The following is a 22,112-nucleotide window of genomic DNA, read 5'->3' as shown; positions in this document are numbered from 1 at the left end:
GGCAGGCAGATCATCTGAGGTCAGGAGTTCGAGACCAGCCTGGCCAACATGGTGAAACTCCGTCTCTACTAAAAATACAAAAATTAGCCAGGCGTGGTGGCGCATGCCTGTAATCCCAGCTACTGGGGAGGCTGAGGCAGAAGAATTGCTTGAGCCCCGAAGGCAGAGGTTGCAGTGAGCTGAGATCGCACCACTGCACTCCAGCCTGGGTGACAGAATGAGACTCTGTCTCAAAAAAAAAGAAAAAAGTTAGCATTCCCTGAGGGTGAGCACAGTGAGCTCCCAGCTGGTCAAGCCTGGCCAATGAGGAAAGATTTTTAAATGAATGCAAATATATTTCTTTTTATGCTAAAATTAAAATTAATAATGCCTATTTCTTTTTTTTTTGAGAGGGAGTCTCGCTCTGTCGCCCAGGCTGGAGTGCAGTGGCTCGATCTCGGCTCACTGCAAGCTCCACCTCCCGGGTTCATGCTATTCTCCTGCCTCAGCCTCCCAAGTAGCTGGGACTACAGGCGCCCGTCACCACGCCCGGCTAATTTTTTGTATTTTTTTAGTAGAGACGGGGTTTTACCATGTTAGCCAGGATGGTCTCGATCTCCTGACCTAGTGATCTGCCCACCTCGGCCTCCCAAAGTGCTGGGATTACAGGCGTGAACCACCGCGCCCAGCCAATAATGCCTATTTCACTCGGTTGCTGTGAGGTTCAAATTAGGCATGTAAAATGCCTGGCTGTTTCTTTCTTTTTTTTTTTTTTTAAAGAAAAACCTACACATGTTAATTATTTTAATTGTTCCTCTTCTCTGGTCTCCACTTTGCAGCCAGAATCATTACCTGAAAACCCAAGCCTGACCAGACACTTCCCTGCCCATTAATGACCTTAGTTATCTTCATTACTGGCAACTTTCTGGGTTCATCTCTCTCTACTGCACCCAGCTCCCTGCCCCATACCCTCCCCACCCACCTGCAAGCACATGCACCCCTCTACACATCAGTAGCACTAAGCTTTTTCCTTCTCTCTGAGCCCACAGGGGCCTTTTGTGCCACTGGACCTTTGCACATGCTCTCTCTCCACCTGGGAAACCCCACCTTTCAAGACCCAGCACCGACATCACCTCCTCTGTGAAGGCATGTGGTTGGCAAGGTAGGCAGTTGCTTCTATCTTTTGTCTTCCTTAGCAACATCTTGCTGTCATGCAAATTGCTTTGCTCACCTGTTAAAATAAATGAGGTGAATTGAATTATCGGTTCTGGTTCTCCACTCTGCTGTCTGTTCTACAGCCCAATGGCCTTGGGGTCTACCATGGCCTCGTGGTGGGCAAAGAGTACTTTCCACCTCTTGACTTTGAGCTTAGCCATGTGACTTGCTTTGATTGATGGGCTTCCGCCATGGCCACAAGGAGAAAATGCCCCAGGCAATCCACGGGTCACAGAACAAAGTGTCCAGTAGAATTGGATCCATCCTGTAGCTTGAGCCCAGCATAGATCAGGTGACCCCACCCCACCCCATTTTCCCAGATGATTTGCAGACAGAGAGCAAGAATAAAGCCACAGAGTTACAGGTGGTTTGTTACTCAGCATCACCGTGGCAATAGGTAACTGTGACAATTGTTCCATCTCCTCTTTTACTTCGAGCATCTATAAGCTGGAGACCACGTCTCACTCCCTGGGTATCCCCAGTACCAGCATAAGGCTGATATTTGAAGGGGAAGGAAATTTCAGAGGGCCCTGTGAAATACTGATTGTTAACTTCAGCCAGCAGGGAAAGAGACAGAAACAGGAAATCCAAGCACTGGCAGGCCCTCCCAAAGATAGCTTAGGGGCCAAGATCATAGGCCTGGTAATTGGACAGCACAGGTTGGAATTCCAGCAACTTCCTTCAGTTCACTGAGATGCCACTTCATCAGCCATGGAGGGGAGCTAAGAATCTTGTCAGTCTCACAGTGTTGTTGGGAGGATTAAATGATTGAATGTAGGCAAATCCCTGCATATAGTGTTTGGCACGTTGCCAGTTCCTCGAAGACACTCCATCAAATTGATATTGGAGAGACATGCAAAGTAACCCAAGAACTGTACTTAGCAATGACAAGAACTGGAGAGCATTTATTCATGAAAAGTATCCTCTGGCAAGGGAAGTTTTCGAGCAGAATACACAACTTTAGAGAGAGGGCTTAGCAGGAGCATAAGGAAGGCGAACACACCGTTCCTGACAGAATACTCACCTTCAGGACCTTCCACGACCTTCCATGACCTCATGTCTCCTAAATTTCCAGGATTATCAAGTTTGCTCTTCTGATGATTCAAATCATAGAAACTATAATTGTGAGCTTAGGAAAAAAAAAATACTTAACTTCTGGTCTAGGTTTTATTCTGTTTCCTAATGATAACTGAAGGTAAGTCCAAACATGCAATTTTTTTCCAAACATGCATTTTTCAATTGATCTTTTCCTTAATGAGTCATCTCATGATTGGCCTCATTATTTTAGAAAAATCATCTATTTTATGTATATCCCTAATGAAACTTCAACTTTTTACATATCTGCAAGCAAATAATATAGATAAATTGGAATCAGACAGGCAATGCAACTAATCTAAAAGAAGACAAGAAAATGGGGAGAAAGTAACAAAGAAGAGATAAGACAAATTGAAAATCAAATAGCATGATAGCAGGTTTTAACCCAACTATATTGATTTATGTTAAATGTAAATGTTCTAAACATTCCAACATAATGTAAGGTTGTCAGATTGTATGAAAAAGCAAGGCCCAACGGTATGCTGTCTACAAGAAACCAACTTTAACTACAAAGACATAAATAGGTTAAAAGTAAAGAGATGGAAAAATGTATACCATGCAACATGCTTATACTCACCAAATGAAAGCTGGAGTGGTGATATTAATATTAGACAAAGGAATATTTCCAGGGATAAAGATGGGTTTGTCATAATTACAAAAAGGCCAACTCATCAAGGATATAGAAAATTCCTAAATGTATACATGCCAAATAATACAGCTTTTTTTTTTTTTTGATACGGAGTCTTGCTCTGTCGCCCAGGCTGGAGTGCAGTGGTGCAATCTTGGCTCACTGCAAGCTCCACCTCCCGGGTTCGCACCATTCTCCTGCCTCAGCCTCCCAAGCAGCTGTGACTACAGGCGCCCGCCACCACGCCTGGCTAATTTTTTGTATTTTTAGTAGAGACGGAGTTTCACCCTGTTAGCTAGGATGGTCTCGATCTCCTGACCTTGTGATCCGCCCGCCTCGTGCCTGGCCAGCATTCTATATTATTGATCTATTTATCGACCTCAATACAAGTACCATGCGGTGTTGCTAAGTTTTATAACAATTTTGAAGGGGACTGTAAATCTTCTAACTTCGGTCATGCTTTAAAGTTGTTTCGACTGTGTTTTATTTTTTCATATTTCCATAGGTATTTTAGAATCCACTTAATTTCTACCAGAAAAAAAAAAAAAGCTGCTGGGATTTTGATTGGGATTGCATTGACTCTATAGATCACTCTGGGGAGACCCTCAAATCCTGGCTTGTTGAATACAGTGTATTTATCCGTTTACTTGGGTCTTTCCTTTCATTCAGGTATGTTTGTAGTTTTCAATGTACAGGTCTTACGCTGATTCGTCAGATTTGAGCCCAAGGATTTCATATTTTTATACTATTGTAAATGGTATTGTTAAAATCCTATTTTACAATTGTTCTTTTTTGGCATATGCAAACACAATTGATTATTGTGTATTGATCTTTTATCTGGCAAGCTTAGTACACTCACTTTTTAAAACATTTTTAAATTAAAAAAAATAGAGACGGGGTCTTGCTGTGTTGGCCAGTGTAGTCTCGAATTCCTGGCCTCAAGCAATCCTCCCACCTTGGCCTCCCAAAGTGCCGGGATTACAGATGTGAGCCACCATGCCCAGCCTACACTCACTTCTTAGTTCAGGGAGCTTTTTTGTAGATTCCACAAGATTTTCTACCTAGGTTTTCATGTTGCCTGCAAATAAGGAGAGTCCTACTTCTCTCTTTCCCATCTGAATGCCTTTTATTTCTTTTTCTTGCCTATTACACTAGCTGGAGGCTCCATTACAGCATTGAGTAGTAGTGGTGGAGTGGACGTCCTTACCTTGCTCCAGACATGGGTGGGAGCGTGCAGTCTCTCACCATCAATTATGATGTTAGCTGTGGATTTTTTTTTTATAAATGTCCTTTGTTAGGTTGAAGCAGTTTCCTTCCCTCTCTAGTTTGTGGCGAGCTTATCTCATGAATGGATGCTGAATTTTGTCAAAAGCTGAATCTATTGAAATGATTACATGGCTCTTCTTTAGTCTGTTTATATCATGAATTATGTTGACTGATTTTGGTAAACTTTTAAACTTGGAATAATTTTAGGTTTTACAGAACAGTTACAAAGCTAGCTAAGAGAGTTCCTGAATCCTCCTAGGGTTATAATCTAATTATTTTGTTTTGTTTTGTTTTTGAGACAGAGTCTCGCTCTGTTGCCCAGGCTGGAGTGCAGTGGCATGATCTCAGCTCATTGCAACCTCTGCCTCCTGGGTTCAAGAGATTCTTCTGCCTCGGCCTGCCACGTATGTGGGACTACAGGTGCCTGCCACCATGCCCTGCTAATTTTTGTATTTTTAGTAGAGATGGGATTTTACCATGTTGGCTAGGCTGGTCTCGAACACCCACCCTCAGGTGATCCTCCCTCCCCGGCCCCCCAACATACTGGGATTCCAGGCATGATCAATTCTCCTGCCTCAGCCTCCCTAGTAGCTGGTACTACAGGTTTGTGCCACCACGCCCAGATAATTTTTGTATTTTTAGTAGAGATAGGGTTTCACCATGTTGGCCAGGCTGATCTCAAACTCCTGACCTCAGGTGATCCACCAGCCTTGGCCTCCCAAAGTGCTGGGATTAAGGCATGAGCCACCGCACCTGGCCAAGAAAATATTTTATAATATTTTGATCTCTTAAAATTTGTTGAGATACAGTTTTTGGTTCAGATTATGGTCCAAGTGATTATCTTATGCATTTGAAAAGAATGTATATTCTAGAATACTGGGTGGACTATTGTATAAAGGTTAATTAGGTCAGTTAGTTGGTAAGTTTGTTTAAGCTTTCTATAATCTTACTGGTTTTCCGTCTTCTTATTTCATCAATTAGTGAGAAAGGAGTGTTGAAATATCCAACTGTCATTTGGATTTGTGTATTTCTCCTTTCAGTTCTATCAGTTTTTTCTTTACATACTGTAAAGCTGTTAGGCCGGGCGCGGTGGCTCAAGCCTGTAATCCCACCACTTTGGGAGGCCAAGGCAGGTGGATCACCTGAGGTCAGGAGTTTGAGACCAGCCTGGCCAACATGGTGAAACCCTGTCTCTACTAAAAATACAAAAATTATCTGGGCGTGGTAGCAAAACCTGTAGTACCAGCTACTCCAGAGGCTGAGGCAGAAGAATAGCTCGAACCCGGGAGGTGGAGGTTGCAGTGAGCCGAGATCACACAGCTGCACTCCAGTTGGGGCGACAGAGCGAGGCTCCATCTCAAAAAAAAAAAAGAAAAAGGAGGCTGGGCACAGTGACTCATGACTGTAATCCCAGCACTTTGGGAGGCTGGGGTGAGTGGATCACCTGAGGTCAGGAGTTCAAGACCAGGCTGGCCAACATGGCAAAGTCTCGTCTGTACTAAAAATACAAAAAAAAAAAAAAAAAAAAAAAAAAATTAGCTGGGCGTGGTGGCGAGTGCCTGTAATCCCAGCTATTTGGGAGGTTGAGGCAGGAGAATTTCTTGAACTCAGGAAGCGGATGTTGCAGTGAACTGAGATCATACCATTGCACTCCAGCCTCGGTGACGGAGCAAGACTGTCTCAAAAACAAAACAAAACAAAAAGAATACAGAGTCTAGAAATAGACCCACATGGTCAATTTTTTCGCAAGGCGCAGAGGCAAATTCAATGGGGACAGGAGAGTATTTTCAACACGTGGAAGAACCGGATATCATTCATATGCAAAAAATTACCTTCGATCTCTACCTCCTCCCACACAAAAGTTAACTCAGTCAAATCAGATACCTAAATGTAAAGGCTAACACTATAAAACTTCTAGTAGAAAACACAGAAGAACATTTGTGAGCTTGGGTTAGGCAAAGATTTCTTGAGTTTTTAATGGGTACAGGAATTGGCCAGGTGTGGTGGCTCACACCTGGAATCCCAGCACTTTGGGTAGGCCAAGGCGGGTGGATCACTTGAGGTCAGGAGTTCGAGACCAGCCTGGCCAACATGGTGAAACCCCATCTCTACCAAAAAGACAAAAATCAGCTGGGTGTGGTGGTGCACGCCTGTAATCCCAGCTACTCGGGAGGCTGTAGTGGGAGGATCACTTGAGCCTGGGAGATGGAGGCTGCAATGAGCCCTGATAGTGCCACTGCACTCCAGCCTGGGTGACAAGGCAAGGCAGTGTCTCCAATAAGAGAGTAAGTGTGCCTGCACCTGCAGGGGTGAAGTGCTTCTGACGCACCCCCCTGCCTGGATAGGGTCCCGGGGTAGCCCTGTGTGGCAGATTTCCGAGATGAATCCTAATGACAGGAAGTTGAGGAGTTTCCACCTCCTTTCCAGCACCAAGGAAGGGGTGGGGACACGGAACTCTCTGAGTCAGTCTGGCTTCCCAAAGCACAGAGGAGGTCAGCTGAAGAGAAGGTTAGAAAGTTCCCATGAGTGACGCAATCCTGCTCCATCTTCAGGAGGAGCCAGCGTTGCAGAGCGGGAGGGATGGCAGCTGTCCACGCAGAAGGACGTCTCTGCCTTCCCAGAATTCCTAATCAAAACAACACACTATAAATGTGCAGACTTTTCAAGGAAACCGTTCTTTACTGACGTTTCCCACCACGCCGCTGCAGTCGTCTGAGACAGCACTAACTCAGCCTTTACGTGAGGTTTCCGTGAAGGGCGTCTGCTGGCGCACTGGCTGGATCTGTCACCGTGAGGGAGCGCTACCAAAATGGGCCCAGGCTGGAATCCTTGCCGTGTGTCCCCGGGAGTCTGTTCCCTCCTCCAGGACTCACCTTCCTCCTCTGTAAATGAGAATAATAAACACTATCGGCCTCGCAGGGCCGCAGCGAGATGAAGGAGAGGTCGTAGGAAGTGCTTCATAAATGCTAAGTGCTTAATGGTCAGTGTGCAAGCGTTTAATCCATAGGAGCTCTTGTTATTGTTATTATTAATATTAAATATTAATATTTAGAATATAGATTCTTGGCTGTGCGCGCTTCACCCAAGCACTTTGACTCCCTGGATGAGTGGGGCCCTGCTGACCGAGAGCCCCAGTGCCCTCCCAGCATTGTTCGGGCTGGCTGGGGTTCCACTCAGATCAGTGCGTGGTGCCCCAAGCGCAGGAGTCCAGGAGTGACTCTCAGCTCTGCCCACTTAACGCCGCCTTCTTCCTCCCGGCACCGCAGCTTCTCCACGTGTAACATGGCTAGGGGCGGCTCCCGCATTTCCAACGGAGAGCAGCACTGACGCCAGCAAAACACGCGAAATGGAAATGGAAGGTGAGGAGCACGCATGTGCCTCGGAGAGCTGAGGCCTTGGAGGGGACTCCTGTGTGACGCTGTAGAGGAGGAAGTTCCTGCATGGAGGTCGGCTGCCTTCCCGGGTCCCTGTGATGTCAGGATGTGCTGAGCCCTGCAATGCTCTCAGCCACTGGCTCCCACACAGGTTGGTGTTATGAAAATAAAAACTATGGAGGTTTGGCTCCACAGAATAGATAAGCCTGTCCTGTCCTGCTCACCCTGCATCTGCCACTGAATGCAACCAAAACCCTGAAGAGAGTGCGGGAGCTGCCATCGAGGGCCTCTGGAGAGTACACGCAGCAGACAGATTGGGGAAGGCAGCAGAACTCGGGTACCTCCCAGCCTTCGGAGCTCCCAGGCTCTTCCCTCCCAGCCTAAACCTCAACGCAGCTGGAAACCTTCCCAAAGAGCATCTTCAGGCCCAGATGCTTTCCCTGGCAAATTCCACCAAACAGCTAAAGAAGAAACAACCAAATCTACACAATGTCTCCCAGATAATAAAAGAGAAGAGGATACTTCCCCATTCATCTTATGAGGACAGCATTACCCTGATACCAAAACCACACAAAGACAGTCCAAGAAAAGAAATGCATGCAGACCAATGTCCATCAGGAACATAGACATGAAAATCTTCACCAATCTACTAGCAAGTTGTATTCAATAATATATATATTTGCTAATATTTTGGTCATAGGTCATACAACCCCATGACCAAGTGGGGTTTATTTGGGGAAGGCAAGGCTGGTGGAACATTTTTTAAAAATCAATCAAACTTGCGTGCAGTAGCTCACACCTGTAATCCCAGCATTTTGGGAAGCTGATGTGGGAGGATCACTTGTGGCCAGGAGTTTGAGACCAGCCTGGGCAACACAGCAAGACCCCATCTCTACAAAAAAATTTTAAAAGTGAGCTTGGCATGTACCTGTAGTCCCAGGTACTTGGGGGGCTGAGGCTGGAGGATTCCTTGAGCCCAGGTGCTCGAGGCTGCAGTGAGTGGTGCCACTGCACTCCAGTCTGAGCGACAGAGTGAGACTCTGTCTCTAAAGAAAAATTTAAAAATAAATTTATAACAATAAAAAAACTATCAATTAATCCATCATATTAACAGACTAAATAAGAAAAACCACATGATCATACCAACTGACGCAGAAAAAAGTCTGACAAAGTTCAACATCCATTCATGATAAAAAAAAAAAAAAAAAACTCTCAGAAAACCAGGGTAGAACAAGAGCAGAAGGCCACTTCCTTAATCTTTTTTTTTTGAGACAGAGTTTCACTCTTGTTGCCCAGGCTGGAGTGCAATGACATGATCTCAGCTCACTGCAACCTCTGCCTCCCAGGTTCAAGCAATTCTCCTGCCTCAGCCTCCTGAGTAGCTGGGATTACAGGCGCCCGCCACCACACCCGGCTAATTTTTTGTAATTTAGCAGACACAGGGTCTCACCATATTGGCCAGGCTGGTCTTGAACTCCTGACCTCAGGTGATCCACCTGCCTTGGCCTCCCAAAGTGCTGGGATTACAGGCCTGAATCACCGTGCCCGGCTTCCATAATCTTATAAAGGGTATCCATAAAAACTCCACAGCTAGCAACGGACTGACTTCATGGGCAAAGAGAATGCTTCCCTTGAGGTCATGAAAAGACAATTTATAAACTCTTGCCATTCCCAGTCAACATCTTTTCTGGAGGCCCAGCCAATGAACTACAACAAGAAAAAAGAAATCCAAGGCACATGGACCTGAAAGGAAAGAATAAAACTGTCCATATTTGCATATAACATAATTCTCTATGTAGAAAATCTTAAGGAAACTATTTAAAAAGCTTAGGCTGGACCGAGTGTGGGGGCTCACACCTGTAATCCCAGCACTTCGGGATGCCAAGGTGGTGGATTACTTGAGCTCAGGAGTTCGAGACCAGCCTGGGCAACATGGTGAGACCCCCATCTCTGCCAAAAAAAAAATTAGCTGAGCATGGTGGTGCATGCCTGTGGTCTCACCTACTCAGGAGGCTGAGGTGGGAGGACTGCTTGAACCCGGAAAGTCGAGGCTGCAGCCAGCTGTGATTGCACCATTGCACTCCAGCCTGGGTGACAGATTGTTAATATGATGGATTACATTGATCGATTTTTTTTATTTTTATAAATGTATTTTATGTTTTACTTGTTTTTTTAGAGACAGAGTCTCACTCTCTTGCCCAGGCTGGAGTGCAATGGCACCACTCACTGTGGCCTCAAACTCCGAGGCTCAAGCAAGACGCTGTCCAAATGAACAAACAAAAAAGCTTATTGAAATAATGAGTTTAACAAGATCTCAGGACATAAGGCCAACAGACAAAAAAAAATCATATTTCTATATACTAGCAATGAAAAATACATAAATGATAAAAATGTTAAACCCATTTACAACAGCTCTCCAAAAATGAAATACTCAGGTATAAATCTGACGAAACTTGAGGATGATCTGTATGCTTTATCAAAATGCTCACAAAAGAAATCAAAGGCCTAAAAACAGAGATATACTGTGTTTATGGATTGGAGGGCTCAAATGTAACTATGCTGTAAATTATCCCCAAATTGATGTGGAGGTTTAACACAATTCAAGTCAAAATTCCAGCATGACTTTTTGTAGATAGTAAAAATTGATGTGGAAAAGCAAAGGATCTGGAATAGAAAAAAATGATTTTGAAAAAAATAGAATTCAACATCTACTGCCCAGCCAGACCCTCCTCCGGGCTCTGCCAGCCACGGGCTCTGTTCTGTGACTCGGAGCACCCCTGCCTTTTCCCAGTTACCGATGTCTTGCTTTCTCCCACTGGCTGCAAACTCTCTAAGACAAGAGCTGTCAAAATGCTCACCTCCTTTCATTTTTGATCTCCCTGCAAGTACAGGCAATGCCTGGCACAGAGTTGGGGCTCAATAAGTGTTTGATGAATGAATACATAAATACACTTGCGATTGGTCCGAGATCTGATTCTGGTAATGGTTGACAGTGGACTCGGGGCAAGTATTTCCGGGGGTGAAAAAAAGCTTGTTTGTGTGGTAAAGACCTTGGCCAGACAAGATCCTTGGTGATCCTGAGATCCTTGCTTCACTCCCAGTACTCCAGACAGATGTCTCTTTAGCCTTCCAGTAATCGTGATAGAGTGAGAAGGCTTCTGTCGATGTAGTTATTAACTATCAATTAGGATTCAGGCTGGAGGCATGGAGGGTTTGGAAAAATGTTTTCAGATTATTTTCCAAGTGTTTGATGAAACCCCAAGATATTTTTCCCAGACATATTTTCCCCCGAAGCTAAAAACCCGTGAGTATTTAAAGGAGAATTTAATCCTAGGGGTTACAGTTTGCTTTTGCTGCGCTCATCTGAATGGAATGGTGTGCAATGCCCAAGAGGTCTGTGGCCCCGTATTTTACACGCGGAATTAGACGCTTGCATTTCAAATGCATGCAACTGAATCTCGCATTAATCCACAAACCAGTACTTGAGTTTCAAGAGGGTATATAAACTTGGCAAATGTGCCTCTCAATTACTGGAATCAAGATAAGCCTGCTGGGTTGTAACAAGGCCCAGGCGCAGGCCTCAGAGAACCCAGGACCTTTGGTCGTCAGAGAAGTGGAGGATGGGAGACAGACATGATGCTGGCGTCTCTGGGCTTGCATGGAGACACGGAAGGAGAAAAGAGTTTCCCGTTTGAAACGTAAAAACTGTCCATTGCAGAAAACTGGGAATACACAGACAAACAGATGGAGGGCAAACAATCCCACAAAGACAACCCTTGGAGGCCAAGCTCACACTTGTAATCCCAGCACTTTGGGAGGCCGAAGCAGGCAGATCACTTGAGGTCACGAGTTTGAGACCAGCCTGGCCAACATGGTGAAACCCTGTCTCTACTAAAATTACAAAAATTAGCCAGGCGTGGTGGCGGACACCTGCAATCCCAGCTACTCCGGAGGCTGAGGCAGCAGAATCATTTGAACCTGAGAGGCGGAGGTTGCAGTGAGCTGATATTGGGCCATTGCACTCCAGCCTGGGAGAGTGAGACTCTGTCTCAAACAAAATAAATAAATAAATAAATAAATAAAACAAAGACAACTTTTGGTGATATTTTAGACCACGACATTTCCTTCCAGTCTTTTTCTCCCCCTGCATTTTGGGAATTGCCATTCATGGCAGCTGAAATGAGAGGTGGGGCTTCGTGATTAATCTGCCATGTGTCCTCATGTTAAAGCCTGAGGGGCGCCCAGAGACTTGGTTAATTGTGAAGACTTAGCGTCAGCTGTCAGCCAGGCACCTGATGACTCAGTGAGTAGATGGAAAGGAAAGGGCTTTATCTAGTTCAGAACTGCAAGTACCTGCTGTTTTGAGAATAATTTATTAGTGAAGATAGCATTATCAAAGTGGGCATGCTCTGGATATATGTCTGTGAGCTTAAATCCCCTCTAGTCCATTTCAACACAAAGCAACTTGAAGCACATCAGAAAGTTTGCATTAATCCTGCAGCACTTAAAATTGTGACAGAAGCTCCCTGACTCTCAGGTGGCCTGTGGGAATGGAATTGGGAGCACTGTGCAATGGTGGCCACTCCTGCTAATAGGCGCCTGCCTGGGACCCTGCAGTCCTACTCAGGAGGATGCACCCAAGAGAAAGGACACAAGCCCTCCACAAGGCACACTGAGAACACTCTTAACAGCCCCAACTGCAACAAGAGATGCCATCCGCAGTGGAACAGACAAGCACATCGTGGCACATCCATAAAATGCAACATTACTCCAAAGTGAGAAAGCAAAACTAACTCCTGGCACCCGCCACCGCTGGAGGGATTTCAGAGAAGCAGCGTAGAGAGAAGAACACGGAGGGCAGGACACATGGCACCGTGCGATGCCATGGAGAGGAAGCGCGGAAGTCACAGTGACCCACGCTCTGGTTCTCAGCCAGGGTGACTGTGTCCCCAGGGTGTATTTAGCAATGTCTGGAGACGTTTGGTTGTCACGATGGAGAGGGTGGGTGCATCTAGTATCTAGTAGGTCAGGGCCAGGGACACAGGAAACATCCTACAGTGCCCACCACAGCCACCACCCCCTAGAATTATTGGCCCCAAATGGCAATCAATAGTGCCGAGGTTGAGAAGCTGATGTACGACAACAGGCATCAGGTTAGCGTCAGGGATGGGGAGAGCGGGAGGGAGTGAGCTCGGGGCCTCTGGGGTGTGGAAATGCTCTATACACTTACACACGTCTAAATGTGTAAAAAGCCACTGAGGTGTACACGTGCGATTTGTGCACTTTGCCATACACACACACACACGCACACACACTCTCTCTCTATCACACACCAGATCCACAGCATTCCCCAGCAAAGCCATGGCTCATGGTTTTGTGTTCCATCACCTCCCGCGCCCCTCTCATTTAAATAGGACAGAACATCTGAGTCAATGCATCCCTTTTACTAAGTGAAATGAAAGAGTTTGGCTCGCGGGGATTCCAAGGCAAATCTGAACCATATGAACATGCAGACTCATGGTAGACACTTGGCTCTTGCACAGCTTCCTCCAGCCCGCCGCCGTCGCGGTGAGCGAGCACACGCAGGCAGCAGCAATGACGGGCGCCTGAGGCTTTATGGGCCCTGGCATCACTGCTGTCCAGAGCTCATCATTTCCGTGAAAAAGGTGCCGGGCCCAGCCCGTCCCTGTTGCTCCATCAGCCGCAAACCTGCCTCAGGATGTCAACAACTGGGCAGCGTCCAGAGACCCAGGGGCTCCTCTGCTCAGTGGGCCAGTGGGTCAGTCTCGAGGAGCTGACCGTGGTTTGTGCTTGCGTTCCATGCACGACCTGACTCAATCTAGTCCAGGGCAAAACTGGGCTGGAGTAACGCCCTGGCCAGACGCTGCAGAAGATGTTTTGCTGTGGCTGCCACTCCTTGGAGAAAAAGCAAATTTGGAAGCTTTGACCCAAGAGGTGGAATGGCTGCTTATTTATTCTCATTTTCTCTCTTTTTTTTTTTTTTTGAGATGGAGTCTCACTCTGTCGCCCAGGCTGGAGTGCAGTGGCGCAATCTCAGCTCACTGCAACCTCAGCCTCCCAGGTTCAAGAGATTTTCCTGCCTCAGCCACCAGAGTAGCTGGGATTACAGGCGTGTGCCACCACTCCTGGCTAATTTTTGTATTTTTCGTAGAGACGGGGGTTTCACCATGTTGGCCAGGCTGGTCTTGAACTCCTGACCTCAGATGATCCACCCGCCTCGGCCTCCCAAAGTGCTGGGATTACAGGCGTAATGAGGCTCAGCCTTATTTTCTTTCAGTGAATTTTATTTTCTCTTTGGCTCATATTAATATACTGTCACCATGAGAATTAACGAGACCAGAATGCTGAAACAGATTTGGCTTCAGGAGGAAAAGACTCCGAAGTCAAAGTCAAGGTGGGTTTGCTGTATAACCTTCAGGCACTGAAGACCTGAGCCATACAGCTTGTGAACGTCAGACGGGCTTTCAAGCCGCATAGAAGACATCTTCACATTTCCAAAATGAATTTCTAAAATGCAAACCATACCTCAACACCGAAACCTTCAGAATTCCAGGGTAAACTCTGCTTTAAATGTAAATTGCAGAAAAGAAATAGAGACCCACTCCCAGCAGAGATGACAGGGCTAGGGTTGAGGACGCTGATTTCAGGGGCTGGTAATGACCAAGAGCAGCCTAGCATCGTGGCCTGGCCATCGCCACAGGGCTGTCTCCCTGGAAAGATGAGGCCAAAACAAAGCCACCCCCACGCCCTCCACCTCCCTGCTCATTCCTTCTCACTCTCCCCTCTCTTCTCAGTTGCTTCTCCCCTCTACATTTTCCTTTTATTACTGTTTTTAACTTTTTTTTTTTTTTTTTTTTTAGTAGAGACAAAGTCTCATTATTTCACCCAGGCTGGGGTCAAACTCCTGGACTCAAATGATCCTCCTGCCTTGGGCTCCCAGAGTGTTGGGATTACAGGCATGAGCCGCCTGCCTAGCTCACATTTTCCTTCTCCTGACCTTCTCTTCCATTTCCTTTACCTGCTTAGCCTCACCCTTTCCATCCCCTAACTGGCCTCAATACAGAGTCAAAGCATACTTTCAGTTGTTTGCTGTATTTACCAAATGAAGTGTGTGTTTTCTTCTCAGTTATAAACGTGGGTGGGTTGAAGCTTTATCGTTCTATTCCTTTGCAAACAAATCTTAGGTTGCTGCAAATCTGAGGTTGGATGCCGGCTTTGAATGGTTCTTCTTGTGCACTAGTGACTGTGAGTATTTTTAAAAGTCCCATTGTAGATGGAAAGGAGGGGACTTCCAGGAAAGCAGAGGGAATGCACATGCAGCCAGCTCTGGAGGACGTGTCTGAGTAAAAGGAAGACAGCAGAGGGAAAGGCTTCCTAGCTCCTCTGGGATAACTGGCTCTGGAACAGTCTTCACCTGGTTGCCCAATATACCCTCGTGCTGTTTTTCGGTGGGAACTTAGGAGTGAATGTCTGTCTACCCTGGTGGTCCCTGACCAGACAGGACACACTCTCTCAGTGCTGAACTAGCACTGTCTGGCTTGATCAGAGTACCCAGAACAGCCAGGAGGGCTGGGATTCTAATGAGGGATAGGGCAGGCAGGGGCAGAGGTCCAGGTAGGCGCGTGACCAAGGTCCCGAAGGCTGGCTGCCCAGAATCGAGGCCCCAGCCCCAGGCCCTCCTGGGTGCTCCCTAAGGGCCTGCTCTGCCAGGGCTCCCTGGTGTGCTTCCTGCCCAGGAGGGCACAACCAGCGGGCAGCTATGGTCATCACTCATGTGCACCTGTGGGCGCACTGCTGAGGGTCCCTGTTCAGACCTCACTAGGCGTGGTGTCGCATCTGCCAGAGTGGACGCTGCGATGTCAGGCAGGTGGTACATTCACTGGGCACGGACTGCAGCCCCTCCTCCCCCAGGCATGGCAGGGGCCCTCTGAGGAGTGCCAGGGCCACCGTGACTGAGCATCAGCTGTGCTAATGGATCACACCTGCTACCTTGCTTACTCCTGCCCCTGGGCCTAGGTGACAGGGCCTAGGTGACAGTGCCACTCCCAGCCACTACCCAGAGGAGGCACCAGGCCACCTGTCCAAGGTCATGTGGCTGGTTCACAGCAGGTGAGGATGGAATGCAGGCACCCGACTATTTAATCACTGTGCTACTTTGCTCTTTTTTTTTTTTTTGCTTTAATGCTGCAAGCACTGAGGCGTCATGCACATCTTTTTCCTTCTGTTCCTCTGCAATATCCACTGGGCTCTGTCTGCCATTCCAGTTTACTCCTAAGCACCAGTGATGACCTCGTCAAGCAGGGTGGGCTGCAGGGAGATGACAGCGGGTATGAAAGGGTGTGAACACCCGCCTGCAGCACAGAGGAGGGGCCCCAAGCATAGGTGCTGGGCAGGTGCCAAGTCCCCAACTGCACAATGTAGACAGAAACTATGCATGGGCTTGGCAGAGGACCAAATGCCTGGCAAAAGCTCAGCAGCAGCCCTGGCCTGCAGAAAGCCCTGTGTGTTTGCTGTTAATCTCTCTCAAATGAAAGGTGCCAAACCTTTAGCCAGAGGAGGAAGTGTCCTGGAGGGGGGATGGAGGCAGGAAAGCTGGAGGGAGGTGCTGGTGGGGGGAGGCCCACAGGAACACCCTAAGGTAGCCACCGAGGGTGCTGCTGTGGGCTGCCGGTCCCCTGTAGCTCAACATCTGATATCCATGGACACACTCCAGGTCTCAGACCCTAGCCTTGGAAGCAGGCCCGGCTGCACCCTTCTTTCGGTCACAGCAGAGGACCCCACTGAAGACTGCACTCCGGCGCAGTGAGGTGCGGCCTCCCAGTGTGGCAGGGAGCATTTGTAGCCACAGGAAACAGGGACATCTTCCTAGAGAGTGAACTTTACTCATTGCAAAGCTAATATACTTTTTCAAAAATATGACAATTAATTTTTTTTTGAGACCAAGTGTCACTCGGTCGCCCAGGCTGGAGTGCAGTGGCGCAATCTCAGATCACTGCAACCTCTGCCTCCCGGGTTCAAGGGATTTTCCTGCCTCAGTCTCCCAAGTAGCTGGGACTACAGGTGCATGCCACCATGCCTGGCTAATTTTTGTATTTTTAGTAGAGATGGGGTTTCACCATGTTGGCCAGGCTGGTCTCCAACTCCCGAGTTCAGGCAGTCAGCCTGCCTCAGCCACCCAAAGTGTGGGGATCACAGGCATGAGCCACCACACAGCCAAAAATATGACACATTTTATGTCACTGTATTAGCCCTAAGGGGGCGCCGCTCACCTGCCAGGATGCCAAGGGTGCATATTTCAATGGAAAATTGAGGCACTGACTTCTCTCTGCAGAGCCCAGGAGTAAACTGTATGTGATAAAATAAGACAAGAATGTCAGGGTCTCTTGCCAGCCCCATGGGTATCAGAAGCTCTACTTTAAGCAGCAATAAATAAGTGGTTACCTGTGCAGAGAGGGACAGACAGGTCAGCTGCGCTGAGTCCCAGACCTGTGTCTTCTGATGGAAACAGGAGGAATGAGGCAGAGACGGGGTCCTCAGATCTGGAAGGCAATCAGCACCTTACAGGGAGGCTTTCAGTCTTTTAAAGCAGAGGAAGAATTTTTTTGTTAAATCAAATGGAGAATACCATCATACTCAGAAAATAGGCAAAAATAATTGCTTTCTTTGAAGGACACGTGGGAAGTCCAAGGTCAGGGTTATTAGACCCGACCCAAGAAAGCCAAGGCTATACCTCGAAAACCAGGGCACGTGGCCTGATCCCATGAACCAAAACACACTCCAGAGGGGTTGTTAAAAAAACAAAACCAAATAATAGGGGAAAAAGAAAGAAAAAAGACACAGAGTTAGATTTTGTCTAGTTCTCAAATGTGCCAACAACACAGGCACCCCTCAGAAAGTTCCTATCAGGGGACTTTTCAAATACACAAACACAACTGAGCAGTGTATTGGCTTGAAACAGGCAGCATAAATGAAGCTACTCTAATGTTTTCGTTATTAGAAAATCAAACAATAAACACTTTCCCCCAAAACAGAGCAAGAACTTAAACGGGAGTCTATGAGAAAATGAAAGGGATAAAAGTTTTTATAGGTCGTCCGCGGTGGCTCACACCTGTGATCCCAGCACTTTGGGAATTCGAGGTGGGTGGATCCCTTGAGGCCAGGTGTTCAAGACCATCCTGGCCAACATGGTGAAACCCTATCTCTACTAACAATACAAAAATTAGCTGGGTGTGGTGGCGTGCACCTCTAATCCCGGCTACTAGGGAGGCTGAGGAGGGAGAATCGCTTGAACCCGGTAGGCGGAGGTTGCAGTGAGCCAAGACCACACCACCGCACTCCAGCCTGGGCTACAGAGTGGGACTCTGTCAAAAAAAAAAAAAAAAAAAAAAAATTATAAAAAATATCTTAAGCATATCACTGTGTGAAATCCTAGAGTCAAAATAAAATAGTTTGCAAATCCCACAGCAGCAAGCGCTGTGTAAATTCCCTTTACTGAAAATACAGCACAGAACAGTGATTTCCAGGTTTGCTTACTTGCCAGTTGTTTCCAAGGAAGGGCCACTCAACGAAATACTACTGTGTTCAGCAAATCAGTGCCTAGCAAATGATCCCGTATCCTGACCACAGAACAACAGGAGACACAACTAAATCCGTGAAACAAAATGCATGTACGACCAAGAAGCAAACGTACAATTTGAGTCCCACTGGAAAAAAATGTACACTTGCTCATTAAAATGATGTAACATGTCTTACTGAGGTGGGGGATGAGCAAAGGGAGGGAAACAATCAGAAAAGAGAATGAAGCATTTGGTCACTAGTTCATAAAGGAACATCACCATGAGGTAAAGCCAGCAGATGCCATCGGGTGCATTTCATTTTCGAGCAAGTTAACTTTTCCCCAAAAGGTGCAAATAAGATGGGAACGGCCAGTCTAAAAGATGAATAACACTAAAACAAACAAACAAACAAACAAACAAAAACAACAAAAAAAACCCCAATTCCTAGGAAGCCAGAGAAAATGTCTGAAGAAGGCAGAACAGTGTCTGCTCGGTGACTTTTGCTGTGACTGATTTTAAAGGAAAAACATGCCGGGCGTGTTGGCTCATGCCTGTAATCCCAGCACTTTGGGAGGCCGAGGTGTATGGATCACGAGGTCAGGAGTTCAAGACCAGTCTGGCCAACATGGCGAAACCCCGTCTCTACCAAAAATACAAAAATTATCTGGTGTGGTGGCAGGTGCCTATAATCCCAGCTACTCGAGAGGCTGAGGTAGGAGAGTCACTTGAACCCAGGAGGTGAAGGTTGCAATGAGTTGAGATTATGCCATTGCATTCCAGCCTGGACAACAAGAGCAAGACTGTCTCAGAAAACAAACAAACAAACGAACAAACAAAAAACAATAAAGGAAACACAAAACACTTCGTGTAGAGTTGGCTATTACCACTTGGCCTTGCTAGACACGGATTTTAAAAACACTAACATTTTGGTCTAATCTCTTTTAAGTCCACTGACCCTCAGGAAATTGGTATAGAGATACTGTCTTCACTAGGCTCAGTCAAGATATTTTTCCTTCTTGAGCCAGAGAAGTACCAGAAAAACTGTGAGTCTTCTGTCTCTTGCTGTTTTTAGTTCTTTTGATGCACTCAGCACTTCCCAAGAGAAATGAAGCCAAGAGACTGCTGTGTCCACACTGCTACAACTTGCTCATTCTCATTGACTCATGAACGTGAGTTGGCTGTACAATACTAGCTCACTGGTTTATTGGGTTATTTCCCATAGTTCAAAAGCCACTGACTTGGACTATGCTTGTCACTTTGTAACCAGTTGGCCTGGTCAAGTATAAGCAGTCTATGACAGCAATAATCAGAAACGTCACCAAATAAAAGACATTCTAAGATGATGCCTTTGCTGACTGCAAAGTTCCTGCTCACGTTGCCCACACATTAGACTAGGATGGTATGACCAATGACATCAAGCAATGAAAGCAGGGGCTGGGCACGGTGCCTCACGCCTGTAATCCCAGCATGTTGGGAGGCCGAGGCAGCTGGATCACCTGAGGTCAGGAGTTCGAGACAAGCTTGACCAACATGGTGAAACCTCGTCTCTACTAAAAATACAAAATTAGCCGGGTGTGGTGGCACATGCAGAACAATCGCTTGAACCTGGGTGGTGGAGGTTGCGGTGACCTGAGATCGCACCGCTGCACTCCAGCCTGGGCAACGAGGGCAAAACTCCATCTCAAAAAAAAAAAAAAAAAAAAGAGAGAGAGAGAGAAATGAAAGCAGAATGCCACTGTGAGCCACTTGGGTGGCTGAACCATAGTTACACCAGTGGAGGCCAGAATGACCTCCATTCTCCATCCTGCCTCAAACACACAGTGGCTTGCGCTTCCTTGGCTAGTGGACAAATAACATACCAACCAGGTAAACTTCATGACATCTTCCCTGTAAGAGAACTTCCAAGTCTTGTTGTCAACAACTGACAAATGCGAGGAAAATCTCCCTATAACATACTAAAAATGTAACCATTCACTGCTTTAAATGCCACCTACAAAGGCATGTTAAATGATAATGAAGGAAAATCACTAAGTCTGTAGCCTCAGCACCAAGGTTAATGAGCAAAGTTCCCGAAGTAAATAACCTAAAGTTAGGAGACCGTACTATGAAACTTACAAAAACATTAAACGTTGCAACATAAAATGGAAACGTTGTGCGTTAGGGTTCTCTAGAGGGACAGAACCTATAGGTAGATGTATATATAAAGGGGAGTTTATTAAGGAGTATTGACTTACAAGAAGGGGTCCCACAGTAGGCCGTCTGCAGGCTGAGGAGCAAGGAAGCTAATCCAAGTCCCAAAACGGAAGAACTTGGAGTCCGATGTTCAAGGGCAGGAAGCATCCAGCACAGGAGAAAGATGGAGGCCACAAGACTAGTCTAGTCTTTCCACATTCTCCTGCCTGCTTTTATTCCGGCCACGCTGGCAGCTGATTAGATGGTGCCCACCCAGATTGAGGGTGGGTCTGCCTTTCCCAGCCCACTGACACAAATGTTAATCTCCTTTGGCAACACCCTCACAGACACACCCAGAAACAATACTTTGCATCCTTCAATCCAATCAAGTTGACACTCCGTATTAACCATCGCAAGTTGAGTGCAAAATCTCAAGAACAGCTAACAGGGACAGACCCAAAATTCACTGGCACCCTAGAAAATGTCTGGATTTGCTAGAATCACCTAATTCTGTATCCCTGGGCCAATTATTCACTTGAGGGACCATATTCTGCCCTGCTCTGGGCTTCCCTGTCTGTGGCTGGGTGTGTGCTGATCCTGCCTGAGCAAAACAAAACTTGGGCAGCCACACGTTCATCACGAATACAGCCTCAGGAGTCAGGCGGCATGAGGTTATGGGCTCCGTTTGTGTCGCCCCCAGTATTCATCTTTGAAGCCTGAACCCCCGGCGGAATACTAGGAAGTGGGGCCTTTTAGGTATAGATGAAATCACAAAGGTGGAGGCCCACAGTGGGATGAGTGTCCTTGTAAGAGAAACAGACCAGGGTTCACTCTGCCCTGTGAAGACATAGTGAGCAAGCGGCTGTCTCCAGGCCAAGAAGCAGGCCTTCCCCAGACAGGTCTGCTGGCATCTGCTCTTGGACTTCTAGCCTCTAGAACTGTGAGAAATAAATGTTTGTTGTCTAAGCCACTCAGACTATGGTTAACAGCCCAAAACAACACAGGGGTTTTGCAGGCTGTCTCGCTAGCACTAGCTTGCATCTTTCTATGAGCAGCAGCAAGATTTATTGTGAAGAGCAAAAGAACAAAGCTTCCAGTGTGGAAGGGGACCCAAACGGGTTGCCACTGCTGGCTGGGGCGGCCAGCTTTTATTCCCTTATTTGTCCCCTCCCATGTTCTGTTTTTGTCCTATCAGAGTGCTCTTTTTTCAGTCCTCCCTGTGATTGGCTGCTTTTAGACTCCTGCTGATTGGTGCGTTTTAAGAACCGATTGGTGCATTTTACAAACCTCTTGCTAGCTACAGAGTGCTGGTTGGTGCGTTTTACAATCCTAGCTACAAAGTGCTGATTGGTGCATTTTACCATCCTCTTAGAGGACAGAAAAGTTCTCCAAGTCCCCACTTGACCCAGGAAGTCCAGCTGGCTTCACCTCTCAATATGAGTTATAATTCAGCCAAGCAAATCACAATAGAATTACAAAGGGTAAGTAGGTTAGACGGACAACACTTGTACAGAAAGTTTAGGAAGCTCTGAACCCCAGATGGCACCAGGCTACAATCAGAAATACCAGATGGTAAGAGCAAGAACTTGAGAGAAAGGCTCAGACCACGTTAAAACCCCTTCTCTGTAGATCTCAGGACACCACAATCATCCACACAGGGCCAGAAGCCGGGGCACGGGCACCCTTGCACGTGACATCCCTCTCTCCATGTCTTCCGTCTCAGAAGGCTTCCTTCCCACTACTGAGGGTGGCGTCTGGAGGCACCGCTCAGCCGCCCCAGTGGCACTCAACTGAAGAGCATTTAGC

General features: G+C 46.9%; 1 long non-coding RNA gene across 6 annotated transcripts, besides 1 other annotated feature; it reads right to left on the bottom strand.

Moving 5' to 3' along the window:
- Positions 1-2,072: 2,072 nt before the first annotated feature.
- Positions 2,073-21,432, bottom strand: LOC105371378 (uncharacterized). 6 transcript variants are annotated; one of them, XR_001752293.2, is made up of 3 exons: positions 17,020-17,739; positions 16,848-16,923; positions 2,073-2,323 (listed from the first exon to the last, which is right to left on the bottom strand). It is a non-coding gene; the product is annotated as an uncharacterized LOC105371378 (long non-coding RNA). The 6 variants fall into 6 exon arrangements; XR_001752292.1 differs by lacking the exon at positions 2,073-2,323 and adding an exon at positions 6,438-7,065; XR_933826.4 differs by lacking the exon at positions 2,073-2,323 and adding an exon at positions 20,369-21,432 and having other exon boundaries at positions 9,802-16,923; positions 17,020-17,155.
- Positions 7,431-7,932: an enhancer, noted in NCBI's record as "H3K4me1 hESC enhancer chr16:84828009-84828510 (GRCh37/hg19 assembly coordinates)". NCBI's record gives its function as "activates a minimal SCP1, AML or CMV promoter by ChIP-STARR-seq in naive H9 embryonic stem cells {active_cell/tissue: H9 hESC(naive)}" and the evidence as "EXISTENCE:reporter gene assay evidence [ECO:0000049][PMID:30033119]".
- Positions 21,433-22,112: the final 680 nt, after the last annotated feature.

The sequence above is a fragment of the Homo sapiens genome, chromosome 16 (genome assembly GCF_000001405.40).
Source record: "Homo sapiens chromosome 16, GRCh38.p14 Primary Assembly".
NCBI classification, from domain to species: Eukaryota; Metazoa; Chordata; class Mammalia; order Primates; family Hominidae; genus Homo; species Homo sapiens.
The sequence above is the reverse complement of the archived record's forward strand: the minus strand, read 5'-3'. Positions and strand labels throughout refer to the sequence as shown.